Source organism: Homo sapiens, chromosome 19 (genome assembly GCF_000001405.40).
Source record: "Homo sapiens chromosome 19, GRCh38.p14 Primary Assembly".
NCBI classification, from domain to species: Eukaryota; Metazoa; Chordata; class Mammalia; order Primates; family Hominidae; genus Homo; species Homo sapiens.
The window spans coordinates 58,394,810-58,418,353 of record NC_000019.10 but is presented as its reverse complement, the minus strand read 5'-3'; the positions used below and the strand labels follow the sequence as shown (position 1 = coordinate 58,418,353).

General features: G+C 54.3%; 2 protein-coding genes and 2 long non-coding RNA genes across 11 annotated transcripts, besides 8 other annotated features; 1 reads left to right on the top strand and 3 right to left on the bottom strand.

Annotated features, from left to right (window-relative positions):
- Window positions 1-26: 26 nt before the first annotated feature.
- Window positions 27-16,796, bottom strand: ZNF584 (zinc finger protein 584). 8 transcript variants are annotated; one of them, NR_134461.2, is made up of 5 exons: window positions 9,189-9,705; window positions 8,263-8,348; window positions 2,708-2,830; window positions 2,414-2,561; window positions 27-1,543 (listed from the first exon to the last, which is right to left on the bottom strand). NR_134461.2 is itself a non-coding variant. In XM_047438392.1 (5 exons), exons 2-5 carry the CDS (start codon window positions 8,378-8,380, stop codon window positions 1,496-1,498), a joined length of 411 nt encoding a protein of 136 aa, XP_047294348.1. In that variant the 5' UTR covers window positions 8,381-8,389; window positions 16,692-16,796; the 3' UTR covers window positions 27-1,495. The 8 variants fall into 8 exon arrangements, 7 of the variants coding, with proteins under 7 accessions (XP_047294348.1, XP_005258687.1, NP_001304931.1 ...); XM_047438392.1 differs by lacking the exon at window positions 9,189-9,705 and adding an exon at window positions 16,692-16,796 and having other exon boundaries at window positions 2,414-2,535; window positions 8,263-8,389; XM_005258630.6 differs by having other exon boundaries at window positions 2,414-2,535; window positions 8,263-8,413.
- Window positions 9,577-9,636: a silencer, noted in NCBI's record as "silent region_11082". NCBI's record gives its function as "represses an Ori minimal core promoter by ATAC-STARR-seq in GM12878 lymphoblastoid cells {active_cell/tissue: GM12878}" and the evidence as "EXISTENCE:reporter gene assay evidence [ECO:0000049][PMID:35858748]".
- Window positions 9,873-10,518: an enhancer, noted in NCBI's record as "OCT4-NANOG-H3K27ac-H3K4me1 hESC enhancer chr19:58919203-58919848 (GRCh37/hg19 assembly coordinates)". NCBI's record gives its function as "activates a minimal SCP1, AML or CMV promoter by ChIP-STARR-seq in naive H9 embryonic stem cells {active_cell/tissue: H9 hESC(naive)}" and the evidence as "EXISTENCE:reporter gene assay evidence [ECO:0000049][PMID:30033119]".
- Window positions 9,873-10,546: a biological region, named in NCBI's record as "OCT4-NANOG-H3K27ac-H3K4me1 hESC enhancer GRCh37_chr19:58919203-58919848".
- ZNF584-DT (ZNF584 divergent transcript) lies at window positions 9,891-15,150 on the top strand. Its single transcript, NR_186337.1, has one exon. It is a non-coding gene; the product is annotated as a ZNF584 divergent transcript (long non-coding RNA).
- Window positions 9,897-9,946: an enhancer, noted in NCBI's record as "active region_15197". NCBI's record gives its function as "activates an Ori minimal core promoter by ATAC-STARR-seq in GM12878 lymphoblastoid cells {active_cell/tissue: GM12878}" and the evidence as "EXISTENCE:reporter gene assay evidence [ECO:0000049][PMID:35858748]".
- Window positions 10,497-10,546: an enhancer, noted in NCBI's record as "active region_15196". NCBI's record gives its function as "activates an Ori minimal core promoter by ATAC-STARR-seq in GM12878 lymphoblastoid cells {active_cell/tissue: GM12878}" and the evidence as "EXISTENCE:reporter gene assay evidence [ECO:0000049][PMID:35858748]".
- Window positions 16,555-16,684: an enhancer, noted in NCBI's record as "active region_15195". NCBI's record gives its function as "activates an Ori minimal core promoter by ATAC-STARR-seq in GM12878 lymphoblastoid cells {active_cell/tissue: GM12878}" and the evidence as "EXISTENCE:reporter gene assay evidence [ECO:0000049][PMID:35858748]".
- Window positions 16,695-17,144: an enhancer, noted in NCBI's record as "active region_15194". NCBI's record gives its function as "activates an Ori minimal core promoter by ATAC-STARR-seq in GM12878 lymphoblastoid cells {active_cell/tissue: GM12878}" and the evidence as "EXISTENCE:reporter gene assay evidence [ECO:0000049][PMID:35858748]".
- On the bottom strand, window positions 17,675-18,151 carry LINC02560 (long intergenic non-protein coding RNA 2560). Its single transcript, NR_149054.1, has one exon. It is a non-coding gene; the product is annotated as a long intergenic non-protein coding RNA 2560 (long non-coding RNA).
- Window positions 18,152-21,274: 3,123 nt separating this feature from the next.
- On the bottom strand, window positions 21,275-22,698 carry RNF225 (ring finger protein 225). Its single transcript, NM_001195135.2, has one exon. The coding sequence runs from the start codon at window positions 22,262-22,264 to the stop codon at window positions 21,275-21,277; it is 990 nt and encodes a 329-aa protein (NP_001182064.1). The 5' UTR covers window positions 22,265-22,698.
- Window positions 23,147-23,346: an enhancer, noted in NCBI's record as "active region_15193". NCBI's record gives its function as "activates an Ori minimal core promoter by ATAC-STARR-seq in GM12878 lymphoblastoid cells {active_cell/tissue: GM12878}" and the evidence as "EXISTENCE:reporter gene assay evidence [ECO:0000049][PMID:35858748]".

The window sequence follows — 23,544 nt, the reverse complement described above, 5'->3', positions numbered from 1 at the left end:
ATCTCAAAAAAAAAATAAAAAAAAAATTTTAAGCGGCTTAAACAATAAAGCCTTTATTACCACATAGTCCAGAGCAGTATGAGACAGTCCATGCTAGGGCATGACAAATACCATGTGTAATGTCAACCATTTCCATGAAAATGGTAAACCTTCCCAGGAAGCCCCCAGCAGATACCAGCTCAGCTCCTCCGGCCAGAGGTGGGTCATGTCCACAGCTAAACCAGTCAAGGGTAGGGAATGAGGCCTGTTTTGGGCTCCACTATTAACGATTCTCTACTGTTTAGAGCAAGGAGCACAAGGTCTGCTGTCCCACTTGCTGTAGGGACCTTATGGGGTGGATAGAGGTGGATGGCGGTGGATAAACTCAGTGATGTGACACTGCCAACAGCCCCAGGCAAGTCAGAGTGCAATGTGGCTCCCGAAAGCGTCCCACACACCAGGCACACACGGGAACTCTCCCTGGGGTGGGTGTTGGGATGTGCAAGGTTTAGCTTCTTTCGGATGGCACTCTCACGGCCACTCTCCTTAACCTCCTTTCTGGAATAAGACCTTTCCTGATGAACACGGTGCTAGCAGCTAACGACCTTCCCATGTGCCCTGTCCTCCTGACGCCTTTCTGGAGTATGGACTTTCTTGTGCTGAAGGAGGGTGGAACTATGTTTGAAGGCCTTCCCACACTCTGTACATTCATAAGACCTCTCTTCAGTGTGGAACTGCTGGTGCCGATTGCGGTAGGATCTGGTAGTGAAGGTTTTCCCACACAGGCTACATTCATAGGGCCGTTCCCCAGTGTGGACTTTCCAGTGCTGATAGAGGCCTGAACGGGTCACGTAGCCTTTCCCACATTGCTTGCATTCAAAAGGCCTTTCTCCAGTGTGAACTCTCTGGTGAAGAATGAAGCTATTATTGTATTTAAAGAACTTCCCACATTCTGTACACTCATAGGGCCTTTCTCCAATGTGCACTTTCCGGTGCCGAATGAGGGTAGACAGAACACTGAAGGTTTTACCACATTTGCTGCACTCGTAAGGCCTTTCTCCAGTGTGAATCCTCTGGTGTAGAACAAGTGCGTCTTTGCGGTTGAAGGTTTTACCACAGTCACTACACTTAAAAGGTTTTATGCCTGTGTGAACCTTCTGGTGTTTCCTCAGCTTAGACGGGTAACTGAAGGCCTTCCCACATTCATTACACACATGGGCTGTTTCTCCAGTGTGAATTTTTCGGGGGTTAATATGAGCTGACTTCTTGAAAGCACTTCTGCCTGTTGGGCATCTGAAGGGTCTCTCTTCAGAATGCGTTATCAGATGGTCAAGGAGGGCAAAGGCCTTTAAGAACACCTTCCCACAGTCACTGCATTTGAACAGCTTCTCTGCCACATGGACTTCTTGCTGTTGCCCACAACTGGAACCAGGTGGGAAAGCTGCCCCATGCTCAGTGTGCCTTCTTGGTTTCCCCTCACTATGAGTGTCCTGGTGCTGGATGACTCTGTAGCTCTTTAGATGCTCAGGATGGGCTCTCTCATCCTCCACTCTACACAAACCATCTGAAAGCAGAGATGAATCATTACTAAGAGTTGAACTAGAGGGAGGAGGTACCTTAATCACCAGTGCATGTCAGACACACCCAGAAGGACTCCATAGAACTGCTGAAAGGGCCAGGCGTGGTGGCTCACGCCTGTAATCCCAGTGCTTTGGGAGGCCAAGGCGGGCAGATCACGTGAGGTCAGGAGTTCGAGACCAGCCTGACCAACACGACGAAACCCCATCTCTTCTAAAAATACAAAATTAGCCGGGTGTGGTGATGCATGCCTGTAATCCCAGCTACTCGGGAGGCTGAGGCAGGAGGATCACTTGAATCCAGAGGCAGAGGCTGCAGTGAGCTGAGATCGCGCCACTGCACTCCAGCCTGGGCAGTAAGAGCAAAACTCCGACTCAAAAAAAAAAAAAAAAATTAGCCAGGCATGGTGGCAGGCGCCTGTAGTCCCAGCTACTCAAGAGGCTGAGGCAGGAGAATGGCATGAACCCAGGAGGCAGAGGTTGCAGTGAGCTGAGATTGCGCCACTGCACTCCAGCCTGGGCAATAAGAGCAAAACTCCATCTTAAAAAAAAAAGAATTGCTGAGAGGTTGCTAGGAAAGGTCTGGGTTGGGAAAGCCTGGCACAACTGAATATGGCTCCACCAGACTACAGACTAAGGAAAACCTCAACTGAGATGAGGGCACAAGATAGGATATGGTGCAGGGAAGAGAGGTGGGGTCTCCAAGTCACTCCTCTGCAAAGGGTTTCAGCAGGGCCTTGGCTGCTGGTGACAGCCAAGCACTATGAGGAGGCATGTGTCTAGTCCCAGCAAAATGTGATTCCAAAATAGTAGCTGGTGTTTAAGTATTAATTAAGGATTGGCTGAAGTTCAAATACCTGTTTAAGGATATGTGCACATTTCAAGACACGCACTGAGTCGCCAACAGTAGACAGCTCTGCACAGATACAGAGAAGGGCAATGAGGAGACGCAGGCCAGAGAGGCAGGAACATGCGGGGCCTGAAAATCATGGTAGAGATGGCAGACTGCACAGTGTCCACATAAGACAGGAAAGGTGGAAGGAAATAAGGTATGGTCACTGCCCTCAACACCAAGGTATCGGTGTATGCAGGTACTCAGCATTCTGTGAGCCCACTGCTGAAACCAAGGTATTCCCCTCCACTCCACTTACCAAGACCAAAACCTCTCCTGGCTTCTGCTCTGCTGACTGGAGTCACATCCACCCAGCTGGGCACCCACGACTGTTCATCATCCTCCAGCTGGGTAAACACAGGGGATCTCGAAGGTGCAAGTCCTGCGGGTGACAGGTAGTAAAAGAAACAGGCTGGGCATGGTGGCTGATGCCTGTAATCCCAGCACTTTGGAAAGTGAGGTAGGAGATCACTTAAACCCAGACGTTCGCAACCAGCCTGGGCAACACAGTAAGACCCCAACTCTACAAAAAATATATTATTTTAATTAGCCAGGCATGATGGCATGCACCACCTGTAGTCCCAGTTACTAGGGAGGCCATAGTGAGAGGATCACTTGAGCCTAGGAGGTCAAAGCGTCAGTGAGTCACGATCACACCATTGGACTCTAGCCTGGGCAACAGAGTGAGACCCTGTCTCAAAAACAAACAAACAGGCCGGGCGCAGTGGCTCACGCCTGTAATCCCAGCACTTTGGGAGGCCAAGGTGGGCGGATCACGAGGTCAGGAGATCAAGACTATCCTGGCTAACACGGTGAAACCCCCCTTCTACTAAAAATACAAAAAAATCAGGCGGATGTGGTGACGGGCACCTGTAGTCCCAGCTACTCGGGAGGCTTAGGCAGGAGAATGGCATGAACCTGGGAGGCAGAGCTTGCAGTGAGCTGAGATCACACCACTGCACTCCAGCCTGGGCGACAGTGCGAGACTCTGTCTCAAAAACACAAACAAACAAACAAAAAGAAAAAAAAAAGCCTTTCTATGAAGCAAAACTGACATAACTGAAGAAACAGACTGTTCAGCAATAATAACGATTGTAATTTCCCACCATCAATAACAACAGCAGACTTGAACAACAATGAAAACCAACTAGTCCTAACAGACATCTATAGAGCTTGCCACCTAACAACAGCAGGATATACATTGTCACGTGCACATGGAACGGTCTTCAGAACATACCATTTGCTAGGATATAAAATAAGCCTCGGCTGGGCGCGGTGGCTCATGCCTGTAATCCCAGCACTTTGGGAGGCCGAGACGGGCAGATCATGAGGTCAGGAGATCAAGACCATCCTGGCTAACACAGTGAAACCCCATCTCTACTAAAAATACAAAAAAAAAATTACCCGGGCATGGTGGCAGGCGCCTGTAGTCCCAGCTACTCAGGAGGCTGAGGCAGGAGAATGGCGTGAACCCAGGAGGCAGAGCTTGCAGTGAGCTGAGATCGCGCCACTGCACTCCAGCCTGGGCGACAGAGCAAGACTCTGTCTCAAAATAAATAAATAAATAAATAAAGCAAGCCTCAGTAGATTTCAAAGGATTGAAATAATGTCAAGTATGTTCTCTGTCCACAAATGAATTAAAACAGAAATCAACAACAGAAAGAAATTTAGGAAACTCACAAATTTAAGGAATTTAAACAAAACATTCCTAAAAATCCAGAGTCAAAGAAAAAATAAATCACATGACAATTACAAGTACTTTGGGAGGAATGAAAATAAAAACACAGGGCTGGGTGTGGTGGCTCAAGTGTAATCCCAGCACTTTGGGAGGCCGAGGCAGGTGGATCACAAGGTCAGGAGTTTGAGACCATCCTGCCGAACACAGTGAAGCCCCGTCTCTACTAAAAATACAAAAAAAAATTAGCCAGGCGTGGTGGTGGGCGCCTGTAATCCCAGATACTCGGGAGGCTGAGGCAGGAGAATGGCATGAATCCAGGAGGCGGAGCTTGCAGTGAGCCGAGATAGTGCCACTGCACTCCAGCCTGGGTGACAGAGCAAGACTCCATCTCAAAAAAAGAAAAAAAGAAAAGAAAAGAAAAATACAACAGGCCGGGTGGTGGCTCACGCCTGTAATCCCAGCACTTTGGTAGGCTGAGGTGGGTGGATCACCTGTGGTCTGGAGTTCAAGACCAGCCTGGCCAACATGGCGAAACCCTGTCTCTACCAAAAAAAAAAAATACAAAAATTAGCCAGGTGTGGTGGACCATGCCACTCGGGAGGCTGAGGCAGGAGAATCGCTTGAACTTGGGGGGCGGAGGTTGCAGTGAGCCAAGATCGCACCACTGCACTCCAGCCTGGGAGGCATCAGACTCCACCTCAAAAAAAAAAAAAAATTAGCCAGGCATGGTGGCACATGCCTGTAATCCCAGCGACTTGGGAGGCTGAGGCAGCAGAATTGCTTGAACCCAGGAGGTGGAGATTGCATTGAGCCGAGATCGCACCATTGCATTCCAGCGTGGGCAACAGGACTCCATCTCAAAAAGAAAAATTAAAAAAAAAGAAAAAGAAAAAGAAAAAAATACCACAACAAACAAAAAATTATGGGATGCAGAAAATGCAGAGCTTAGCAGGAACATTATGGCTATAAATACCCATATTTTAAAAGATCTCAAACCAATAACCTAACTTTATACCTCAAGGAACAAGAAAAAGAAAAACAAACCCAAAGATAGCAAAAGGAGGGAAATAATAAAAATTAGAGCAGAAACGAATGAAACAGATTAGAAAAAGAGAACCGACAAACCAAAATTTGGTTCTTTGAAAAAATCAACAAAATTGGCAAATGTTTACCTAGAGTGACAAAAAACAGAGAGAAGACTCAATACTACTTTGAACAGGAATGGAAAAAGGACATCACTAGTAACCTTATAAAAATTAAAAAATAATGAAATACTATGTACAAATGTATGCCAACAAATTGGATAACTTAGATGAAATGGACAAATTCCCAAGTAGACACAAACTATCAAAACTGAGTCAAGAAGAAACAGAAAATCTAAATACAAATGTAACAAAGAGGGTTTTCTTGTTGTTATTAAAAAACATTCCCCCCAAAACACACACAACCCCAAGCCCTGATGGCTTCAAAGGTGAATACTAACAATACTGAAATAAGAATTAACACCAATACTTAAGAAACTCTTCCAGAAAACAGAAGAGAAGGAAACATTCCCAACTCATCCATTGAGGCCAAAATTACCCTCATACTCAATACAGAGACATTATAAGAAAACTACACCACTGGCTGGGTGTGGTGGCTCACACCTGTAATCTCAGCACTTTGGAGGCCGAGATGGGTGGATCACCTGAGGTCGGGAGTTCAAGACCACCCTGGCCAGGCCGGGCGTGGTGGCTCACGCCTGTAATCCCAGCACTTTGGGAGGCCGAGGCGAGTGGATCATGAGGTCAGGAGATTGAGACCATCCTGGCTAACAAGGTGAAACCCCGTCTCTACTAAAAATACAAAAAATTAGCCGGGCGCGGTGGCGGGCGCCTGTAGTCCCAGCTACTCGGGAGGCTGAGGCAGGAGAATGGCGTGAACCCGGGAAGCGGAGCTTGCAGTGAGTCGAGATTGCGCCACTGCAGTCCGCAGTCCGGCCTGGGCGACAGAGCGAGACTCCGTCTCAAAAAAAAAAAAAAAAAAAAAGACCACCCTGGCCAACATGGTGAAACCCCTGTCTCTACTAAAAATAAAAAAATTAGCCAGGCATAGTGGTGCATGCCTGTAACCCAGCTACTCAGGAGGCGGGGGCAGGAGAATCACTTGAACCCAAGAGGTGGAGGTTGCAATGAGCCGAGATCATGCCACTGAACTCCAGCCTGGGCGACAGAGTAAGACTCTGTCTAAAAAAAAAAAAAAAAAAAAAAACAAGTATTATAAGCCATGACAGGGAATTTATCCCAGTAATGCAAGGTTGAACATATGAAAATCAACAATTAGTGTTGGGAGGCCGACGGGGGCAGATCACGAGGTCAAGAGATCAAGACCATCCTTGCAAACATGGTGAAACCCCATCTCTACGAAAAATACAAAAATTAGCTGGGCGTGGTGGTGCACGCCTATAGTCCCAGCTACTTGGGAGGCTGAGGCAGGAAAATCACTTGAACCCGGGAGGTGGAGGTTGCAGTGAGCCGAGATCGCGCCACTGCACTCCAGCCTGGCGACAGAACAAGACTCCGTCTCAAAAAAAGAAAAGGCAATCAATTATTCTAATATACTACATTAACAGAAGAGAGGACAAAAATCACATGATCATTTCATTAGACATTGGAAAAGCATTTGACAAAATCTAGTGACCTTTCTTTTCTTTTTTTTTTTTGAGACGTAGTTTCACTCTTGTTGCCCAGGCTGGAGTGCAATGGTGCGATCTCAGCTCACTGCAACCTCCACCTCCCAGGTTCAAGCGATTCTCCTGCCTCAGCTTCCCTAGTAGCTGGGATTACAGGCATGTGCCACCACACCTGGCTAGTTTTCTATTTTTAGTAGAGATGGGGTTTCACCATGTTGACCACGCTGGTCTTGAACTCCTGACCTCAGGTAATCCACCTGCCTCGCCCTCCCAAAATGCTGAAATTACAGGCATGAGCCACTGCACCTGGCCATGACTTTTCTTAATAAACACATTAAATGAACTAGAAAGAGAAGGGAACTTCCTCACCTGAAATGGGCATCTGCAAAAAACCAACAGCTAACACCATACTTAACAGTGAAGAATAAAGTACTTAGGAATAAATTTAACGAAAGAAGTACCTTTGTGGCCAGGCGCAGTGGCTCACGCCTGTAATCCCAGCACTTTGAGAGGCCAAGGCAGGCAGATCATGAGGTCCGGAGTTCAAGACCAGCCTGGCCAACAAAGTGAAACCCTGTCTCTACTAAAAATACAAAAATTAGCCAGGCATGGTGGCGCGAGCCTGTAGTCCCAGCTACTCGGGAGACTGAGGCAGGAGAATCGCTTGAACCCTGGAGGCAGAGGTTGTGGTGAGCCGAGATTGCGCCACTGCACTCCAGCCTGGGCAACAGAGTGAGGCTCTGTCTCAAAAAAAAAAAAAAAAAAAAAAAAAAAAAAATTATATATATATATACATATATATATATATATACACACATATATATATATACATATATATATACACATATATACATATATATATACATATATACATATATATACACATATATACATATATACACATATATACACATATATATACACATATATACACATATATACACATATATATACATATATATACATATATATACATATATATACATATATATATACACATATATATATATATATATATATATATATATATATATATATTTCCCAAACCGTTCTGATTAAAATTCATGGCTCAAGCCTGGCCCAGGGAGGTCCCTGTAAAATTTCTTTTGTAGGGAGGCAAAACCCAGAGCACAGAGAAGCCATGTCTTCAAGAGAGTCACATGGCCAGGAAAAGGCAGAGCTTGGTGGGATTTGGTGGGCAAACTATGAAACATCTGACCCCCAAAACCTGCTCCACTAGCTCCTGGGGCAAGAGGTGTTGAGGCTGCCAACAGCATTGCTCAGAGAAAGGCAGGGAAAGAGCACACCGCCGAGTCCCACCACCGAGTCCCACCACCCACAATACCTACAACAGGGAATCTGGGAAGGAAAGAGCCCCCATGGTCTGGCTTCGTTATGGACAGAACTTCGCATGGGGAAAATGAGGGGGTAGTCAGTGTGCTGGGGGACAGTGTAAGAGACTTACCCAGTGAGCTAACGAGTGCAAAGTTCTCCAGCATCACATCCCGGTATAGGCCCTTCTGGGTCACATTAAGGAGCCCCCACTCCTCCCTGGAGAAATATACCGTCACATCCTCAAACATCACCAAGCCCTGCAATGATGGGTCCAACTGAGCCTTGGGGTCAATGATGGGCAGAAAAAAACAACCAAAATATGGACAGATGGACACATTCAGGCCCTTGACCTGTATCTCAGGGTCCTATCACATCTCCCCCTGACATTATCTTTCCCTATGAGCTCTAAACTCTTCCCCACCTTACTCCCTACACATACCCTTATACCTTCCTTCTCCTATCCCAGAGGAATATCAGAGCTGCTGGTGTTATTGATGCTTCTGGTGTTACTACTGGAAACTGTGTCCAGCCCAAAGCGACATCAGGTTGGTGACCAGACTGATGCCATCTATGTGCAGGGCCAAGGGCACAGGCTCCACTCTATCTCCTGCCTGCCAATTCCAGTCCCAGAGATCATACCTCTCAGACGCAACCAAACCTATGCTCATCCTTCTCCCTTAGGTCTCAAGTACCTGGTCCCAGGGTCCAGTTTGCCTCCTGCTCAACAGGCACAAAACTGGACAACAGAATGCCTAAAACTGTACACCCCCAGCACAACGTCCCCAGTTTACCCTATAGGCAATTGCCTGGCCTTCCACACGCCGTTCTGCACATGCGTCTCCAGAGGGCCTGGCACAGCAACTACGACCCCATCCTGTCCCAGTCCTGCGGCACATCTCCAATGGCTCCCACTGCCAAGGGCATGCCCCAGCCGTGCATCAAAGACCTCCCCCTGGAATCATACGCAGATCTCCTGCCCTCCTCCAACTCTGCCCTGGCACACGCCGCCCCCCACCTGGTGGGCCCCCTCATTCCTCGGAGGCATCCTCTGCTCACCTCCGCCTCCCCGGCCATTGGACCGTGCGGGCAGAACCCGTGGACTGGACCCACGGCCTCAGCCGAAACGCGTCCCGGGCGCGGAAACCCTCGGCCGCCGTGGAACCTTCCCGGGAAGCTCTCCCCGCGCGGGTGAAATGCGTCCGAAGACAGGGAACCGCTTCCCGGAGCCGCTGGGAAGGAGGACGGTACGGAGGCCCGGGAGACCCACGGCGCCTGTCCGCGAGCGATAAGTCTGAGGAAGATGGAGCCACTCGCCGGTGGGGCACGGCGCGTGGAAGGCGCGGCAAAGGTCCCTGCCCTTCACCTCGCGCAGGGGATCGCGAGGAAGTCACCCCGGCCCACGCAGAGCTGCCTGAGGCGCCGGGACAGCCTTCCCGCCGAGGACTGCGGACTGCCGGGCAACGCCGGAACTCCCGGAACTCCCGTGGCCCGCGCCTCCCCTCGCTCGGCGCCCCTCACGCCACGACCTCCATTCCCGGCTCTCCTCGCGGCGCGGCTGGGTCGTTGCCAAGGCGATAAGGGAGGGCGCCGCTAGCTCCTGAAGCGGGACGTGAACTACATTTCCCATAAGGAGCCTCGACGTGGGGCCGTTCAGACTTGGCCAATGGCGGCCCAGGAACGGGAACGTTCGGGCGGGCCCTGCGTGGGGCGGGGCTTCCGGCGTCGGCTTTCGGCGCTGGCTTTGGGGCGGTTTGCGGCAGTGGGATCATTGGGCGGTGGGCGGTGTGGAGGAGTCTCCGCTGGTCCGCAGAAACGAACGAAGGCGCGAGAATCGGGAAGTTCTGCCTCAGTGACCTGTACGCGTCCTAGCCGCAGTGAATGTTGCTGAACCCCGGTGACCTCACAGTGGAGGGGCGGCCCCATGGGGCCATCGGACCGCGCCGCGCGGGGGCGTTCGCCAGGGCCTCCGCAGAAGCCCGCCTGTGCCCGCAACCGCCCCGAAATTCTCTCCCTGGCACCGTGTCCGCTTTACGGAGCCCGGAGCAAGGCTCAGAAAAATGTCCCAGCCAAAAACATGGTACATGCCTGTCATCAGGCAAGTCTTCAAAGAGCGGCTGGGACCAGGGGCCGAGGGACCTCGTTTAGAGGCGGCTTAGGGGGAAGGTCAGCAGTTGTGTTTCAGTTGTGTTGGGTTTTCGGCGCCCCACAATGCGGGCGACGTATGGGCCACAGGTGTGGATGCCAGGGACAGGTCGCCCTGCACATGGCTGAGGCACGGTAGGCTTGTAGTCTACCCCATATCAGGCCATGGTGATCTCAGGTATGGGGGCCTGGGAGAGGAGAGTGAGTACATGGCTGAGTACGTCAGAGCACGGGGTCAGGGACACATCAGGGGAGGACGCTGGCAGGAGAATAACCGGGCTCCTGGGTGTCCTCCGCTGAATTCAGACGCGTTCATGTTAGAGCAGGTGGGCCTGCGTCCTCCCGGACGAACGGAGTTCTTAGGCAAGGTCCAGAGGAGCTTCTACCTGAAGTGGTGCTGGAGAACTTTGCACTCAGTGCTGGGTGAGACCACTGGCACCATAACTCTCCCCAGCCTCAACTCTGGTTTTTTTCCTCTGTTCTTTCCATGTTCCCCTTGGAAGTCGCTGTTGGTCGTGGCACTGAGGCCCAGATCATGCCACCTCCTCTAACAAGTGGCTGAGTGGACACCCCACACATTCTACCCAAGGGCCGTGAGTGGCCAAGATCGGGGCTCAGAAGTCTCTGAATCTTCACAGCTGGTCACGTTCAGCTCGGTCACTTCCTGTAAGATTCCAGGCACTGCATGCACTGACATGGGTGCGTGTGGGCCCACTGGGTCCTGCCTGGGAGCCTTCCCTGAATGTTCATTTTTTGCAGGTCTGTGTTTGTCTTGGAGTAAGGATTATTCTCGCTTGCTGGGGTCATGGTGTTTTGGCCTCTCCTGGCCTGGACTCTCAAAAACTCATCATCCTTCATAGGTCTGAAGGCTTCTACATTCCCACCAGCAGGTGGACCATATGAACTCAAAACTAGTTGTGGCAGAGGGACCCTGAAGAGATCTACCCCTGGTGAATGCCCCCAGGAGTGGGCTGTTCTCACACCTGGTGCCCAGCCTGTGCCCTCGCAGGTCTTGGTGCCTCCACTCAGCTCAATTCCAGTTTTCTGGCCATGCCCCGCTGTGTCCCTTTCTCTCTCCTTAGTGCCTAGCTGTGCAATGTTTGCCTCTCCTTAACATGTCCTCAGCTGACCCCATATCCTCAGTCCTTGCAACCCTGTTCCTCAGTGACACCTGTGTATTCTCTCCAGTGGAGACACAGGTGGGACACCCCCAAGCTCATGGTACATGCCTGTCATCAGTACCCCTGGACTGTCATGGTGGGTCAGTCTGCCCTAGGCTGGACTGACCAACCTGTTCATTCCCCCACAGGATTGCCCTTTACAGTTCATGAGTTCCCCCAACTGGAGTGCAGACAAGAGCACTGATTGATGGACCAGGTAGACTTGAAACCAGGAATAGCACAAAAGTTATCAAAGAGGCTCAGCCATGGAGATTGCAAGCTGGGGATGGAAGTATCCCTGGAATTGAGCTGTTCTCACACCTGGTACCTGAGTTATACCCCTGGTGTCTGGGTACCAAGGTCACTAGCCTTGCCACTTTTCTATGTTCCTGATCCCCTACTAAACAGTCCACCTTTTCGCCTACTTCCCCTGACTCCTGTACCCTGTCCCCTCTTTCTGCCTAGTTTGAAGACACTGGTCATCCCATAACATGTCCTGGGCTAATACATATCCTCAAATCGTTCTTGAAAATCTGTTCCTCTTCCCTCCTCCCCCTCCCCCTCCCCCCCCCCCCGCTCTTTCCACGGTCTCCCTCTGATGCCGAGCCGAAGCTGGACGGTACTGCTGCCATCTCGGCTCACTGCAACCTCCCTGCCTGATTCTCTTGCCTCAGCCTGCCGAGTGCCTGCGATTGCAGGCGCGTGCCGCCACGCCTGACTGGTTTTCGTATTTTTTTTGGTGGAGACGGGGTTTCGCTGTGTTGGCCGGGCTGGTCTCCAGCTCCTAACCACGAGTGATCCGCCAGCCTCGGCCTCCCGAGGTGCCGGGATTGCAGACGGAGTCTCGTTCATTCAGTGCTCAATGGTGTCCAGGCTGGAGTGCAGTGGCGTGATCTCGGCTCGCTACAACCTCCACCTCCCAGCAACCCGCCTTGGCCTCCCAAAGTGCCGAGATTGCAGCCTCTGCCCGGCGGCCACCCCGTCTGGGAAGTGAGGAGCGTCTCCGCCTGGCCGCCCATCATCTGGGATGTGAGGAGCCCCTCTGCCTGGCTGCCCAGTCTGGAAAGTGAGGAGCGTCTCTGCCCGGCCGCCATCCCATCTAGGAAGTGAGGAGCGCCTCTTCCCGGCCGCCATCACATCTGGGAAGTGAGGAGCGTCTCTGCCCGGCCGCCCATCGTCTGAGATGTGGGGAGCATCTCTGCCCTGCCGCCCCGTCCGGGATGTGAGGAGCGTCTCTGCCCGGCCGCCCCGTCTGAGAAGTGAGGAGACCCTCTGCCTGGCAACTGCCCCGTCTGAGAAGTGAGGAGCCCCTCCGCCCGGCAGCCGCCCCGTCTGAGAAGTGAGGAGCCCCTCCGCCCAGCAGCCACCCCGTCTGGGAAGTGAGGAGCATCTCCGCCCGGCAGCCGCCCCGTCTGAGAAGTGAGGAGCCTCTCCGCCCAGCAGCCACCTCGTCCGGGAGGGAGGTGGGGGGGTCAGCCCCCCGCCCGGCCAGCCGCCCCGTCCGGGAGGGAGGTGGGGGGATCAGTCCCCCACCCGGCCAGCCGCCCTGTCCGGGAGATGAGGGGCGCCTCTGCCCGGCCGCCCCTACTGGGAAGTGAGGAGCCCTTCTGCCCGGCCAGCCGCTCCGTCCGGGAGGGAGGTGGGGGGGTCAGCCCCCCGCCCGGCCAGCCGCCCTGTCCGGAAGGGAGGTGGGGGGGTCAGCCCCCCGCGCGGCCAGCCGACCCGTCCGGGAGGGAGGTGGGGGGGTCAGCCCCCTGCCCGGCCAGCCGCCCCGTCCGGGAGGTGCGGGGCGCCTCTGCCCGGCCGCCCCTACTGGGAAGTGAGGAGCCCCTCTGCCCGGCCAGCCGCCCCATCTGGGAGGGAGGTGGGGGGGTCAGCCCCCCGCCCTGCCAGCCGCCCTGTCCGGGAGGGAGGTGGGGGGGTCAGCCCCCCGCCTGGCCAGCCACCCCGTCCGGGAGGTGAGGGGCGCCTCTGCCCGGCCGCCCCTACTGGGAAGTGAGGAGCCCCTCTGCCTGGCCAGCCGCCCCGTCCAGGAGGGAGGTGGGGGGGGGGGTCAGCCCCCCGCCTGGCGAGCCGCCCTGTCCGGGAGGTGAGGGGCGCCTCTGCCCGGCCGCCCCTACTGGGAAATGAGGAGCCCCTCTGCCCGGCCACCACCCCATCTGGGAGGTGTACCCAACAGCTCGTTGAGAACGGGCCATGATGACAATGGCGGTTTTGTGGAATAGAAAGGGGGGAAAGATGGGGAAAAGATTGAGAAATCGGATGGTTGCCGTGTCTGTGTAGAAAGAGGTAGACGTGGGAGACTTTTCATTTTGTTCTGTACTAAGAAAAATTCTTCTGCCTTGGGATCCTGTTGATCTGTGACCTTACCCCCAACCCTGTGCTCTCTGAAACATGTGCTGTATCCACTCAGGGTTGAATGGATTAAGGGCGGTGCAAGATGTGCTTTGTTAAACAGATGCTTGAAGGCAGCATGCTCCTTAAGAGTCATCACCACTCCCTAATCTCAAGTACCCAGGGACACAAACACTGCGGAAGGCCGCAGGGTCCTCTGCCTAGGAAAACCAGAGACCTTTGTTCACTTGTTTATCTGCTGACCTTCCCTCCCCTATTGTCCTGTGACCCTGCCAAATCCCCCTCTACGAGAAACACCCAAGAATGATCAATAAAAAAAAAAGAAAAAAAAAAAATCTGTTCCTCTGTGAGATGGGCCTGATCTCTCCCACGGGTGGAGCAGAGGAGTAGAGGGTCCAGGGCCTGAGTCTCCCATAGGCTAAGTATTTGCCCTGAGTCATAAAGCCAGTGGGAGGCAGTGCTACAGTTTGATTCCAGGAAGTCTCAGACCAAAGTTCTCTCTTAACCACTTACCTTTCCTGGGCTTAATAGTTAGTTCATTTATGTTTTTCCTGGCACTACTTCATTGGACCTCATTTTAGTTTCTTCTTTTTTTTTTTTTTTTTTGAGACGGAGTTGCTCTGACACCCAGGCTGGAGTGCAGTGCCACGATCTCACAGTAACCTCCGCCTCCCGGGTTCAAGCAATTCTGTCTCAGCCTCACGAATAGCTGGGACGACAAGCGCGTGCCACCACACCCGGCTAATTTTTGTATTTTTAGTAGAGTTGGGGTTTCACCATTTTGGCCAGGATGGTCTCCATCTCCTGACCTCGTGATCCGCCCCGCTCAGCCTCCCAAAATGCTGGGATTACAGGCATGAGCTACCGCACCCGGCCCATTTGTTAACATTGTAAAATGAATATTAGTACATTATTATTAATGTACATTATATGGGTTTTCACAAATGCATAAATTCATGTATCCACCATTACAATATAGTACAAAATACTTTTACTGCCCCCAAAAATTACTTGTGCTACTATTCATTCCTCCCTCCCTCCCTCCCTCCCTCCCACTGAGTCCCTGGCAGTCACTGCTTTACTGTCTCTATAGCTTTACCTTTTCCAGAATGTCATAAACTTGTAATCATACAGTATGTAGCTTTTTCAGTCTGGCTTCTGTCACTTACCAATGTGCATTTCAGACTCCTCCATGCCTTTCATAACTTGGTAGCACAGTTAATTTTATTGCTGAATGATATTCCATTGTGTGGATGTAACACAGATTAGCCATTTATCTATTGAAGGACATCTGGGTTGATTCAAGTTTTGAGCAATTATGAATAAAGCTGCTATAATAATTTGTGTGGTTTTCGCATGGACATAAGTTCTCAACTCATTTGTGCAAATACCCAGGAGTGTGATTGCTGTATCATATGGTAAGACTATATTTAACTTTCTGTAAGAAACTGCCAAACTGTCTTCCAAAGTGGCTATACCATTTTGCCTTTCTATCAGCAGTAAACGAGAGTTCCCATTGCCTCACAACCTTGCTAGCATATGGTGCTATCAGTGTTTTGCATTGTAGCCATTCTAATAGATGTATAGTAGTATCTCATTATTGTTTCAATTTGCAGTTCCCTAATGGCATATGATGTGGAGCATATTTTCATGTGCCTATTTGCCAGCTATGTATCTATTTTTCTTAGGTGAGGGGTCTATTCAGACCTACGGCCTTTTTTTTTTTTTTTTTTTTTTTTTGAGACGCAGTTTCGCTCTTGTTGCCCAGGCTGGAGTGCAATGGTGCAATCTCGGCTCGCCGCAACCTCCGCCTCCCGAGTTCAAGCGATTCTCCTGCCTGTCAGCCTCCCGAGGAGCTGGGATAACAGGCATGTGCCACCACGCCCAGCTAATTTTGTATTTTTAGTACAGATGGGGTTTCTCCATGTTGGTCAGGCTGGTCTCGAACTCCTGACCTCAGGTGATCCGCCCACCTCAGCCTCCCAAAGTGGTGGGATTACAGGCGTGAGCCACCGCGCCCAGCCTTGAATTGTACACTCAAAATGGGCAAATTATATGGTATGTAAATTGTTTTTTAAAAAAATCTGTTATGTTTTGAAAGAACAAGTAGATGTCTGGGAGATTCTTTGGAGAAGTACTTAATGTGAAATTTTCCACAACGATAAAAATGAAAGCACCCATCCCCCTGGTGGGGGGACACAGATCACAGGTAGCTTGTGGCCCCTCTTGGGCACTTCTTCTCCCACCACCCTCTGCTCCTTCTGCAGAGGCTTACAGAGCAGAGGAAACCCCAACCTAGGGCGAGACTCCCAGCTTTGCCACGCCAAGCCGGGCCCCAGGGGAGCCAGTGCGAACTCTAGCCTACTCCCTGGGATGAGAGGACCTCAGCACTAACCAGGTCTGCAAGTGGGTGTGGGGTTAGAGTGGATCAACTATGTGATCCTATCAACCTACGTTCGAATTTGACTGCATTTAAAAAAACACTTTACCCCCCCAAACGGAGTCTCTCGCTCTGTCGCCCGGGCTGGAGTGCAGTGGCGCGATTTCGGCTCACTGAAGCCTCCGCCTCCCGGCTTCAAGCGATTCTCCTGCCTCAGCCTCCCGAGTGGTTGGGACTACAGGCGCCCGCCACCACGTCCGGCTAAAAAAAAAAAAAAATCTTTTTTTTTTTTTTTTTTTGAGGAGTCTCACTTTATATAGGATCCTCACGTTATACTATGTGTTTGGATCTGCGTTAAAATGTATTCATAACTATATGATCTGTACTCAAAGCGACAGCCCCCAGACAACTTAAGCCCGCGGGGCCGGGGACGAGTCTGTGCCACAGACTCGTCCCCGGCGTGGCGTGGGGACAAAACGCGTGAGGGCGCTCGAAGGGACTGGTCTCTCGCTTGCTGCTCACCTGAGGCCCCGCAGCCTCCTGTCCCCCATCCTGGGGTCCCGCAGCCTCGCTCTGCGCGCCGCAGCCTTTCCTCTCGCCAGCGCCATCGGAGTGCTGGTGCTCACTGTTCTCACCACTCGCTCCCCGAGTTCCCCGCGGTTTCAGCCCCCGTCGCAATCTCCAGCGCAACGTGGTCGTCATGGCAACATCGCCCTCGGGTCCCTGATTGGCCGTCGAGTCTGGCGCGCCTTCCCTACCTCACGTAATAGGGCTGCGGCACTAAGGCGACGCGCGCGCGCAGCACAGGCGTGATGAGTTGTTATGGCGACCAGAGTCCCGCCTCTTCAGCCCTACATAGGGCCTCCGATTGGTCCGCGCTTCCTCGAAGGCCTCTCCGCATTCTGGGCGGGGCCCGCCCGGGGCAAGAGGAGGGAGAAGGCAGGGCCGTGACTATGAGGGCGGAGGAGAGAAGTGCGGCTGTGATCTGGGGAAGGAGGGAAACCCAAGGATGCCAGCACGTGCGGTTGAGGTGAGAAGGGATCTTGCAGAACGCTTCCAGGACCCAGATTCGTATGCACGCCCTGCCCAGCTGGTCAGCCTCAGTTTCCCCATCTGTCAGTCTGGACAGTGACGCTCCCAGCGTCCGGCGAAGCCCCGCTCTTGGCCCTTGGTCCCTCCGCCTGATCACAAGAGGGTGCCGCGACGGCCGGGGACGGGTCTGGCGTGGGCAGGGACCTCTCCGACCCTCATTGAGGAAAGAATGGCGGAACCCGAAAACCGGGCCCTGGCGTCCCTCCTGCAAGGTGGGGAGGAGAGCTGGACGGCAGGATTTGGGAAGGGCTTGGGGAGCAGGGCCCCCTGAGGGTGGCGGGGGAGGCAGTGCTACCAGAACCATGGTTCGGTTGGTTCAGCCGCCTGGACCTCATCTGCTCCCTGAGGTTGGTCTTTGCTCCGCACCCTGGTGCGGCCTGGTACACAGAAGGCGCTCAGTAAACACTTGTGGATGAAGGAAAAAGAGAATTTATTGTCGTCGATTTACAGAAAACAGAATCAAAGGCCGTGCCGTGCTGGGCCCTCTGGCACCCGGCTTCACAAGCACCCAGGCCTGCCAGGAGGAGCAAGTCCGGGGCCGAAGTGCCAAGGGGCAGGGTGTACAGCAGTGATGGGGTGGGCAGAGAGAGGATAGGAGGGCACAACTCCAGCTCTGAAGAAGAGAAAGAGGAGATTGGCTGAGGCTGGGCAAGGGTGGGAGGCGTCCCCCTGGGTGGTGTCAGGCAGCCTCTTTGTTTGAAAGCAGTGGATAGGCAGGCAGACATTGGGCACCAAGGTGGTAATCAGCAGACCAGATGCCCAGCAACTCCTAGGCTCAGTCATCAGCCTCATTTTACTGCAAGAGAGAATGAGGCCCCTGGCTCCAAGCTGGTAGAGTGCAGAAGCCACAAAAGCACCTAGGAGCGAGCTGGTTAAGACGGAGAATGCGGCCAGCCCCACCCAATACCCCCAGCCCCACCCCTGGCCTCCCCAGGTCCTCCTGTATTTGTGCAGGCTATGCCACTGGCCTCAATGCCAGCTCCTGAGCATCCTTTAGGATACAGCTCCCTCCTCCAGGCAGCCTTCCTGGTCTACCCTCAGGCACAGAACATCCTCTCCCTCTTCTGTGCAACACCAGGCAAGGGCCCCTTTCTGACTCCCCTGCTTGGCCTGTCTGGGTCAGAAATACCATTGCACACCCCCACTCCCCTAGGTTGGGTGGGAGAGGGAAGCAATGAGGAGGATCTCTGAGACCCTATGGTAGGCAGAATAATGGCCTCCAAAGATATCCCGGTCTGAATCCCTGGAACTTGTGAATCTTTTACCTGACACCACAAAATGGACTTTGCAGGTGTGATTAAATTAATGATCATGAGATGGGGAGACTATCTTGGATTATTCGGGTGGGCGCTATGTACTTGTAGTGTCCTTATAAGTGAAAGAGGGAGGTAGGAGGGTCAGAGAGATCTGAAGATGCTGCACTGCTGGCTTTGAAGGAGCCAGGAGCCAAGGAATGCAGCCCTAGAAGCTGGAAAAACTAATGAAATGAATTCTCTCTTAGAGCCTCTAGAAAGAACTAGCCCTATGGGCAACTCAACTTTAGCCCAGTGAAACTGATCGTTGACTTCTGGACTGCAGAACTGCAAGATAAGAAGTGTGTGTTTAGCCAGGCATGGTGGCCCATGCCTGTAATCCCAGCACTTTGGGAGGCTGAGGTGGGTAGATTACTTGAGACCAAGAGTTCAAGACCAGCCTGGCCAACATGGTGAAACCCCGTCTCTATTACAAATACAAAAAGCCGGGTGTGGTGGCGGGCGCCTGTAATATCAGCTACTTGGGAGACTGAGGCAGGAGAATGATTTGAACCTAGGAGGCAGAGGTTGCAGTGAACCGAGGTTGCGCCACTGCACTCTAGCCTGGGCTACAGAGCGAGACTCTGTCTCAAAAAAATAAATAAATAAATGAAATAAGGCCGGCTGCGGTGGCTCAGGCCTGTAATCCCAGCACTTTGGGAGGGCAAGGCAGGCAAATCACGAGGCCGGGAGTTTGAGATCAGCCTGGCCAACATGGTGAAACCCCGTCTCTACTAAAAATACAAAAATTAGCCAGGCATGGTGGCGGGCGCCTGTAATCCCAGCTACTTGGGAGCCTAAGGCAGGAGAATCGCTTGAACCCGGGAAGCGGAGGTTGCAGTAAGCCGAGATCATACCACTCCACTCCAGCTCGGGCGACAGAGTGAGACTCTGTTTCAAAAATAAATTAAAAAAAATAAACGCGTGTTCTAAATAATTAAGTTGGGGGTATTTTGTCACAGCAGCCACAGAAAATGAATAGACCACCAACTCTGCGGCTGTCTGACCAGGTTTCTTCCCTATGAGGCTGGGCTGTGGCTGCCCAGTGACCCAGTACACTGGTCCCAGCCCCTGTGGGTGACATCGGCATGTGGGTGTGGGCAAGAACTGGTCTGGGAAGACACACTGTGGACTCCCTAGTGTTCCTCCTCTGGCTCCCACCTGGAAGCAGCAGCTCACACCAGAGCTAGCTCTAGACAGTCCTGGGCCCAGGGTGCATTCCCAGGCTGCCTGGGTCACCTGCAATTCTGTCACTCCCTTGTTTGGCACCTACTGTATGCTGGTGCTGAGGACACACGTTAACAAATCAAACAGGAGCCTCCAGCCACATAGAAGTCACGTTTCGCTTTGGAACATGCTGGGTGCCCATTCCCAAAACACAGCACTCCATCCCAGAGTGAGGTGAGGCAGGATTGGGGGGGTGGTGTGCAGGGCCTGGGAGGAAACAGAAGCCCCAGGTTCAGTCTGCACAGAGAATAGCTGCCATCTACCCCCATAACTAACCCAGGAAGACTTCTGGGAGGAAGAGGACAGGAGCCCATATGCCACCTTCCCTGGAGGCTGCTGTCTATTGGGAAGGCTCAGGGTTCACCTCGAGGTACAAGAAAGGAGGCTGGGCAGGACAGATGGAGCCCTGGAGGAAGAAGTGCAGTAACTGGCATCAAGATATTAATCGGGGGTGATGGGGACTCTGGTGGCCAGGGAAAGGGACTAGGATCCCTCTGGCTAACCAAGGAGGTCCAGGACTCCCACCCCCACCATTGTCTGCCTCTGTCTGACCCCTGGGGTGATGTTGGCCTCTGAGCCATGATAAGCACAGCTGCACCACAGCATATTGGGAGGATCCTAGAAGCCACGACCCAGGGGGAAGTGGAGGCTCCCAGAGCAGTTTGGGACTTAGGATTGGGGCGGGAGCCAGTCTTTAAGGCTCAAGTTCCTCCCCAGCCCTGGCCAGGACACCCTGTTACTTCAAGCCTGAGCCCCAGCCCCAACCAGGTGTACAGGATGGCAACTCTACACCCGGGACCAGCATGTAGACAGCTGGAGCCCACCCAGGCCCAGCCTGCAGGCAGTAGAAAACAAACTCCACAGATGGGTGGAGTGGTGGGACGTCCCCTGCAATGAGCCAGTTGGGGAGGAGGTGACCAAGGAAGAATAGCAGCAGCAGCTCTGCCCTCCAAAGATAGGCGGGCCCCTGCAACCTATGGCCAATCCGAAGGATGAGTGCTTTGGCCTCCAGTGCTGGCAAGGACGCTCCCCCAGGAATCTGTGGTGAGGATGACTGGGGGCACTCCCAGCAAGACCCGTTCAAGGATCCGTGTGGGGCTGCCCCTGGCTGGGCACCTGCATGGATGTCAGTCGGGGGCGTCCACAGCTGGACTCCTACAAGGGATGAGGATCAGGGATGCTTCCAACTGCACCCCCACGGAGTAGGGGTTGCGGAGCAGGAGCAAGCCCCAGCAGGACCCTTATAGAGGTCACGGTCAGGGCACCCTCCGCTGGACAGCCACAAGAATGGGGGTCAGGGGTGTTCCCAGAGGATCCTTGTGGGACGACTGCGGTGCCTGCTCCTTGAGAGGGTCCAGCCCCATGGTGACAATGCCAAGGATGCTTGCCCTAAGCCCCAATCTGGAGAAACAGGTAAGTGCTGCGCGCCCTACTAAGGGCCCCAGATAACACGGAGGTGCCAGGCCTGGAGGCAGGACTGCAGTACTGGCGCACTTATTGTGAGCCCCACAGCCTCCTCGCGCCCCGTGGCCACGGGGCCCAGCCGGGGCCAGCCTCTGTGCCCCACGTGCCATCCGATCGCCTGTCCAGCGTCCTCTCGGCCTCCGCCGGGTCCTCGGGGCCCGCCTCGGGCTCCAGCGCATCTTCTGCAGTTCCTGGCAGGGCCGTGTCCAGGTCAGGGCCCGTGGGGCGCGGCGTCCAGGCGGGGGCCCAGGGCGACCCCGGCGGGGGCCTCGGCGGAAACCAAGAGAAGCCAGGCGCTGGAGCGAGCGCCACGAGCTGGGGCCGCGGGGGGCCGGAGGAGGTGGCGTGCGGGATGAGGAAGAAGATGTAGACGCCCGAGACCACGAGGCCCGCGGCCACCAGCACCGCCAGCGCCACGGCAGCGTTGAAGACCCAGGCCGGGCTGGCCAGCGACAAGCGGCGCGACAGCGGGCGGCCCAGGCGCAGAGGCGGCGGGGGCGGCGGGGCGCGGGCCTTGCGCGGCCCGGGCGGGGGCGGCGGCGGCCGCAGGTAGAGAAGGCCGCGGCGCCGGTCGAAGCGCACGGAGCCCTGGCGAGAGGGCGGTGCGCGCGCGTCGCGGGGCAGGAGACCGGACTGCGTGGGCAACGCGGGGAGTCCGCGGCGGGGGGCCAGGCGCGTGGGCGCGCGGCACACCGGACAGGCCACCGCGTTGCCGCCGCCCGCCGTGGCCAACGATAGGCGCGCCAGGCACTCGAGACAGAAGACGTGGCCGCAGTCCAGGCGCTTGGGCAGCTTGAACACGCCGTCGAAGGACGACACGCAGATGAGGCACTCCACCGGGGAGGCGGGGGGCAGGATAGGGCCGGAGCCTGGGCTGCCGTCCCCTTCCTCCTCCTCCTCCTCCTCCTGGTCTTCCCCTCTGCTTGGGGAGCGGGGCGCAGAGAGCGAGCCTGGGGAGCTGGGACCCGAGCCCTGGGGGGCCCGGGAATGGCGGAGCCAGAACGGCCGAGGGCAGGGCATCCGGATGGACCTGGGAGGAGAGGAGGTCAGGCAGGGAAGGAGGCGGTGGAGCCTGGAGCGGGTTCTGAGACCAGCAGGGAATCCAGGGAAGACTGGGGACTGTACTTTAGAGAGGATCCCCCAGTACAGAGCACCCCATCCCGAGAAGGGTGTAGCTAGCGTCGAGGAGCAGGGGAGATGGGGAGGCCCGAGGCGGAGACTGGGGATAGGAATGGACCCACGGGGTACCAGTTCCTGAATTGGAAACGGAGAGACAGACCGCAGTTGAACACGGAGATGGGGAGGACCCCAGACAGGGATGGAAAGGACCTGACCCACAGAGGAGCAGAGATAGGCACCCCCCACAGAGTAATGACAGACCGCAGCCAGCCTGTGGGCGCCTTCCTACCTGTGGAAGCCTCCTCCCTCTGGCCAGTGGCGTGTCCCTGTCTGTTCCTGGCCTGCCAGCAGCTGGGCTCAAAAGTACCCTCCCAGGGGGAGGGTGCTCAACCGGCACCACCCCTCCAGGTCCCAGGTACCCGCTGGACCCGTTTGACTGCCTGCCCCGCCCCCTGGGCCAGCCCCACCAGGATGAACACCAAGCCTGTCTTGGCCAGATGTTGGGGGCGGTGGAAGGGTGATGGCACACGGTGGGTGGGCTTGGGCCCACCCCACCCTTCAGAACCTGATGAGTCTTCTACCAGAGTCACCAGCCTGTGGCCCTGGGTGGGTCCCAACCTGTCCCCAGCAGCCTGATGACACTGCATGGACACTGGCAGAAGGGAACCCGTACAGCCCACAGAAACTGGGTGTGCAGGCCCAGGGTGCAGCCACAACCAGTGTAGCCGGGGAGGTAACCAGGAGCACAACCTCGCCAGTGTGAAACCACCCCACACTCCAAGAGGGGGGTGAAGCTAGGGGTCTGAAATCGTGTGCCCTAAACAGCTGAGCTTTCCTCCTCTCCCCAGTGCTACTTCAAGGTGACAAGCCTCTCAGGATGGTCTTGTGACTACCCAGACCTCACAGGCACCCAAGCCACCCATCCACCCAGACCACAGCAACATCTCATGTGCCACGCCCTCAGAAGTTATGGATAACCCCATCTCATTTCCAGTACCTGCTGGGACACTCCAGGCAGCCTGGCCTGCATCCAGTGCCCCACCTGCTAGCCCTGGGGTGCCATGGTTCTGAGTCAGCAATACTTCCAGGTCCCCACAGGCCAACAGGTCAGGAAGGTGAGCAGCTCCCAAGGCCACCAGGGCTATGCCACCCACATCCCCCCACCGAAGACAGACAACAGC

What these genes read in the sequence shown, in the direction of transcription:
- RNF225 (NM_001195135.2), bottom strand. Translation starts at nt 22,264, where the DNA reads ATGCCCTGCCCTCGGCCGTTCTGGCTCCGCCATTCCCGGGCCCCCCAG.
- ZNF584 (NM_173548.3), bottom strand. An exon ending in TGCACTCGTTAGCTCACTGG is followed by an intron (nt 2,831 to 8,262) that starts GTAAGTCTCTTA and finishes TGTCACCCGCAG; the next exon opens with GACTTGCACCTTCGAGATCC. An exon ending in CAGGAGAGGTTTTGGTCTTG is followed by an intron (nt 1,544 to 2,707) that starts GTAAGTGGAGTG and finishes CTCTGCTTTCAG; the next exon opens with ATGGTTTGTGTAGAGTGGAG.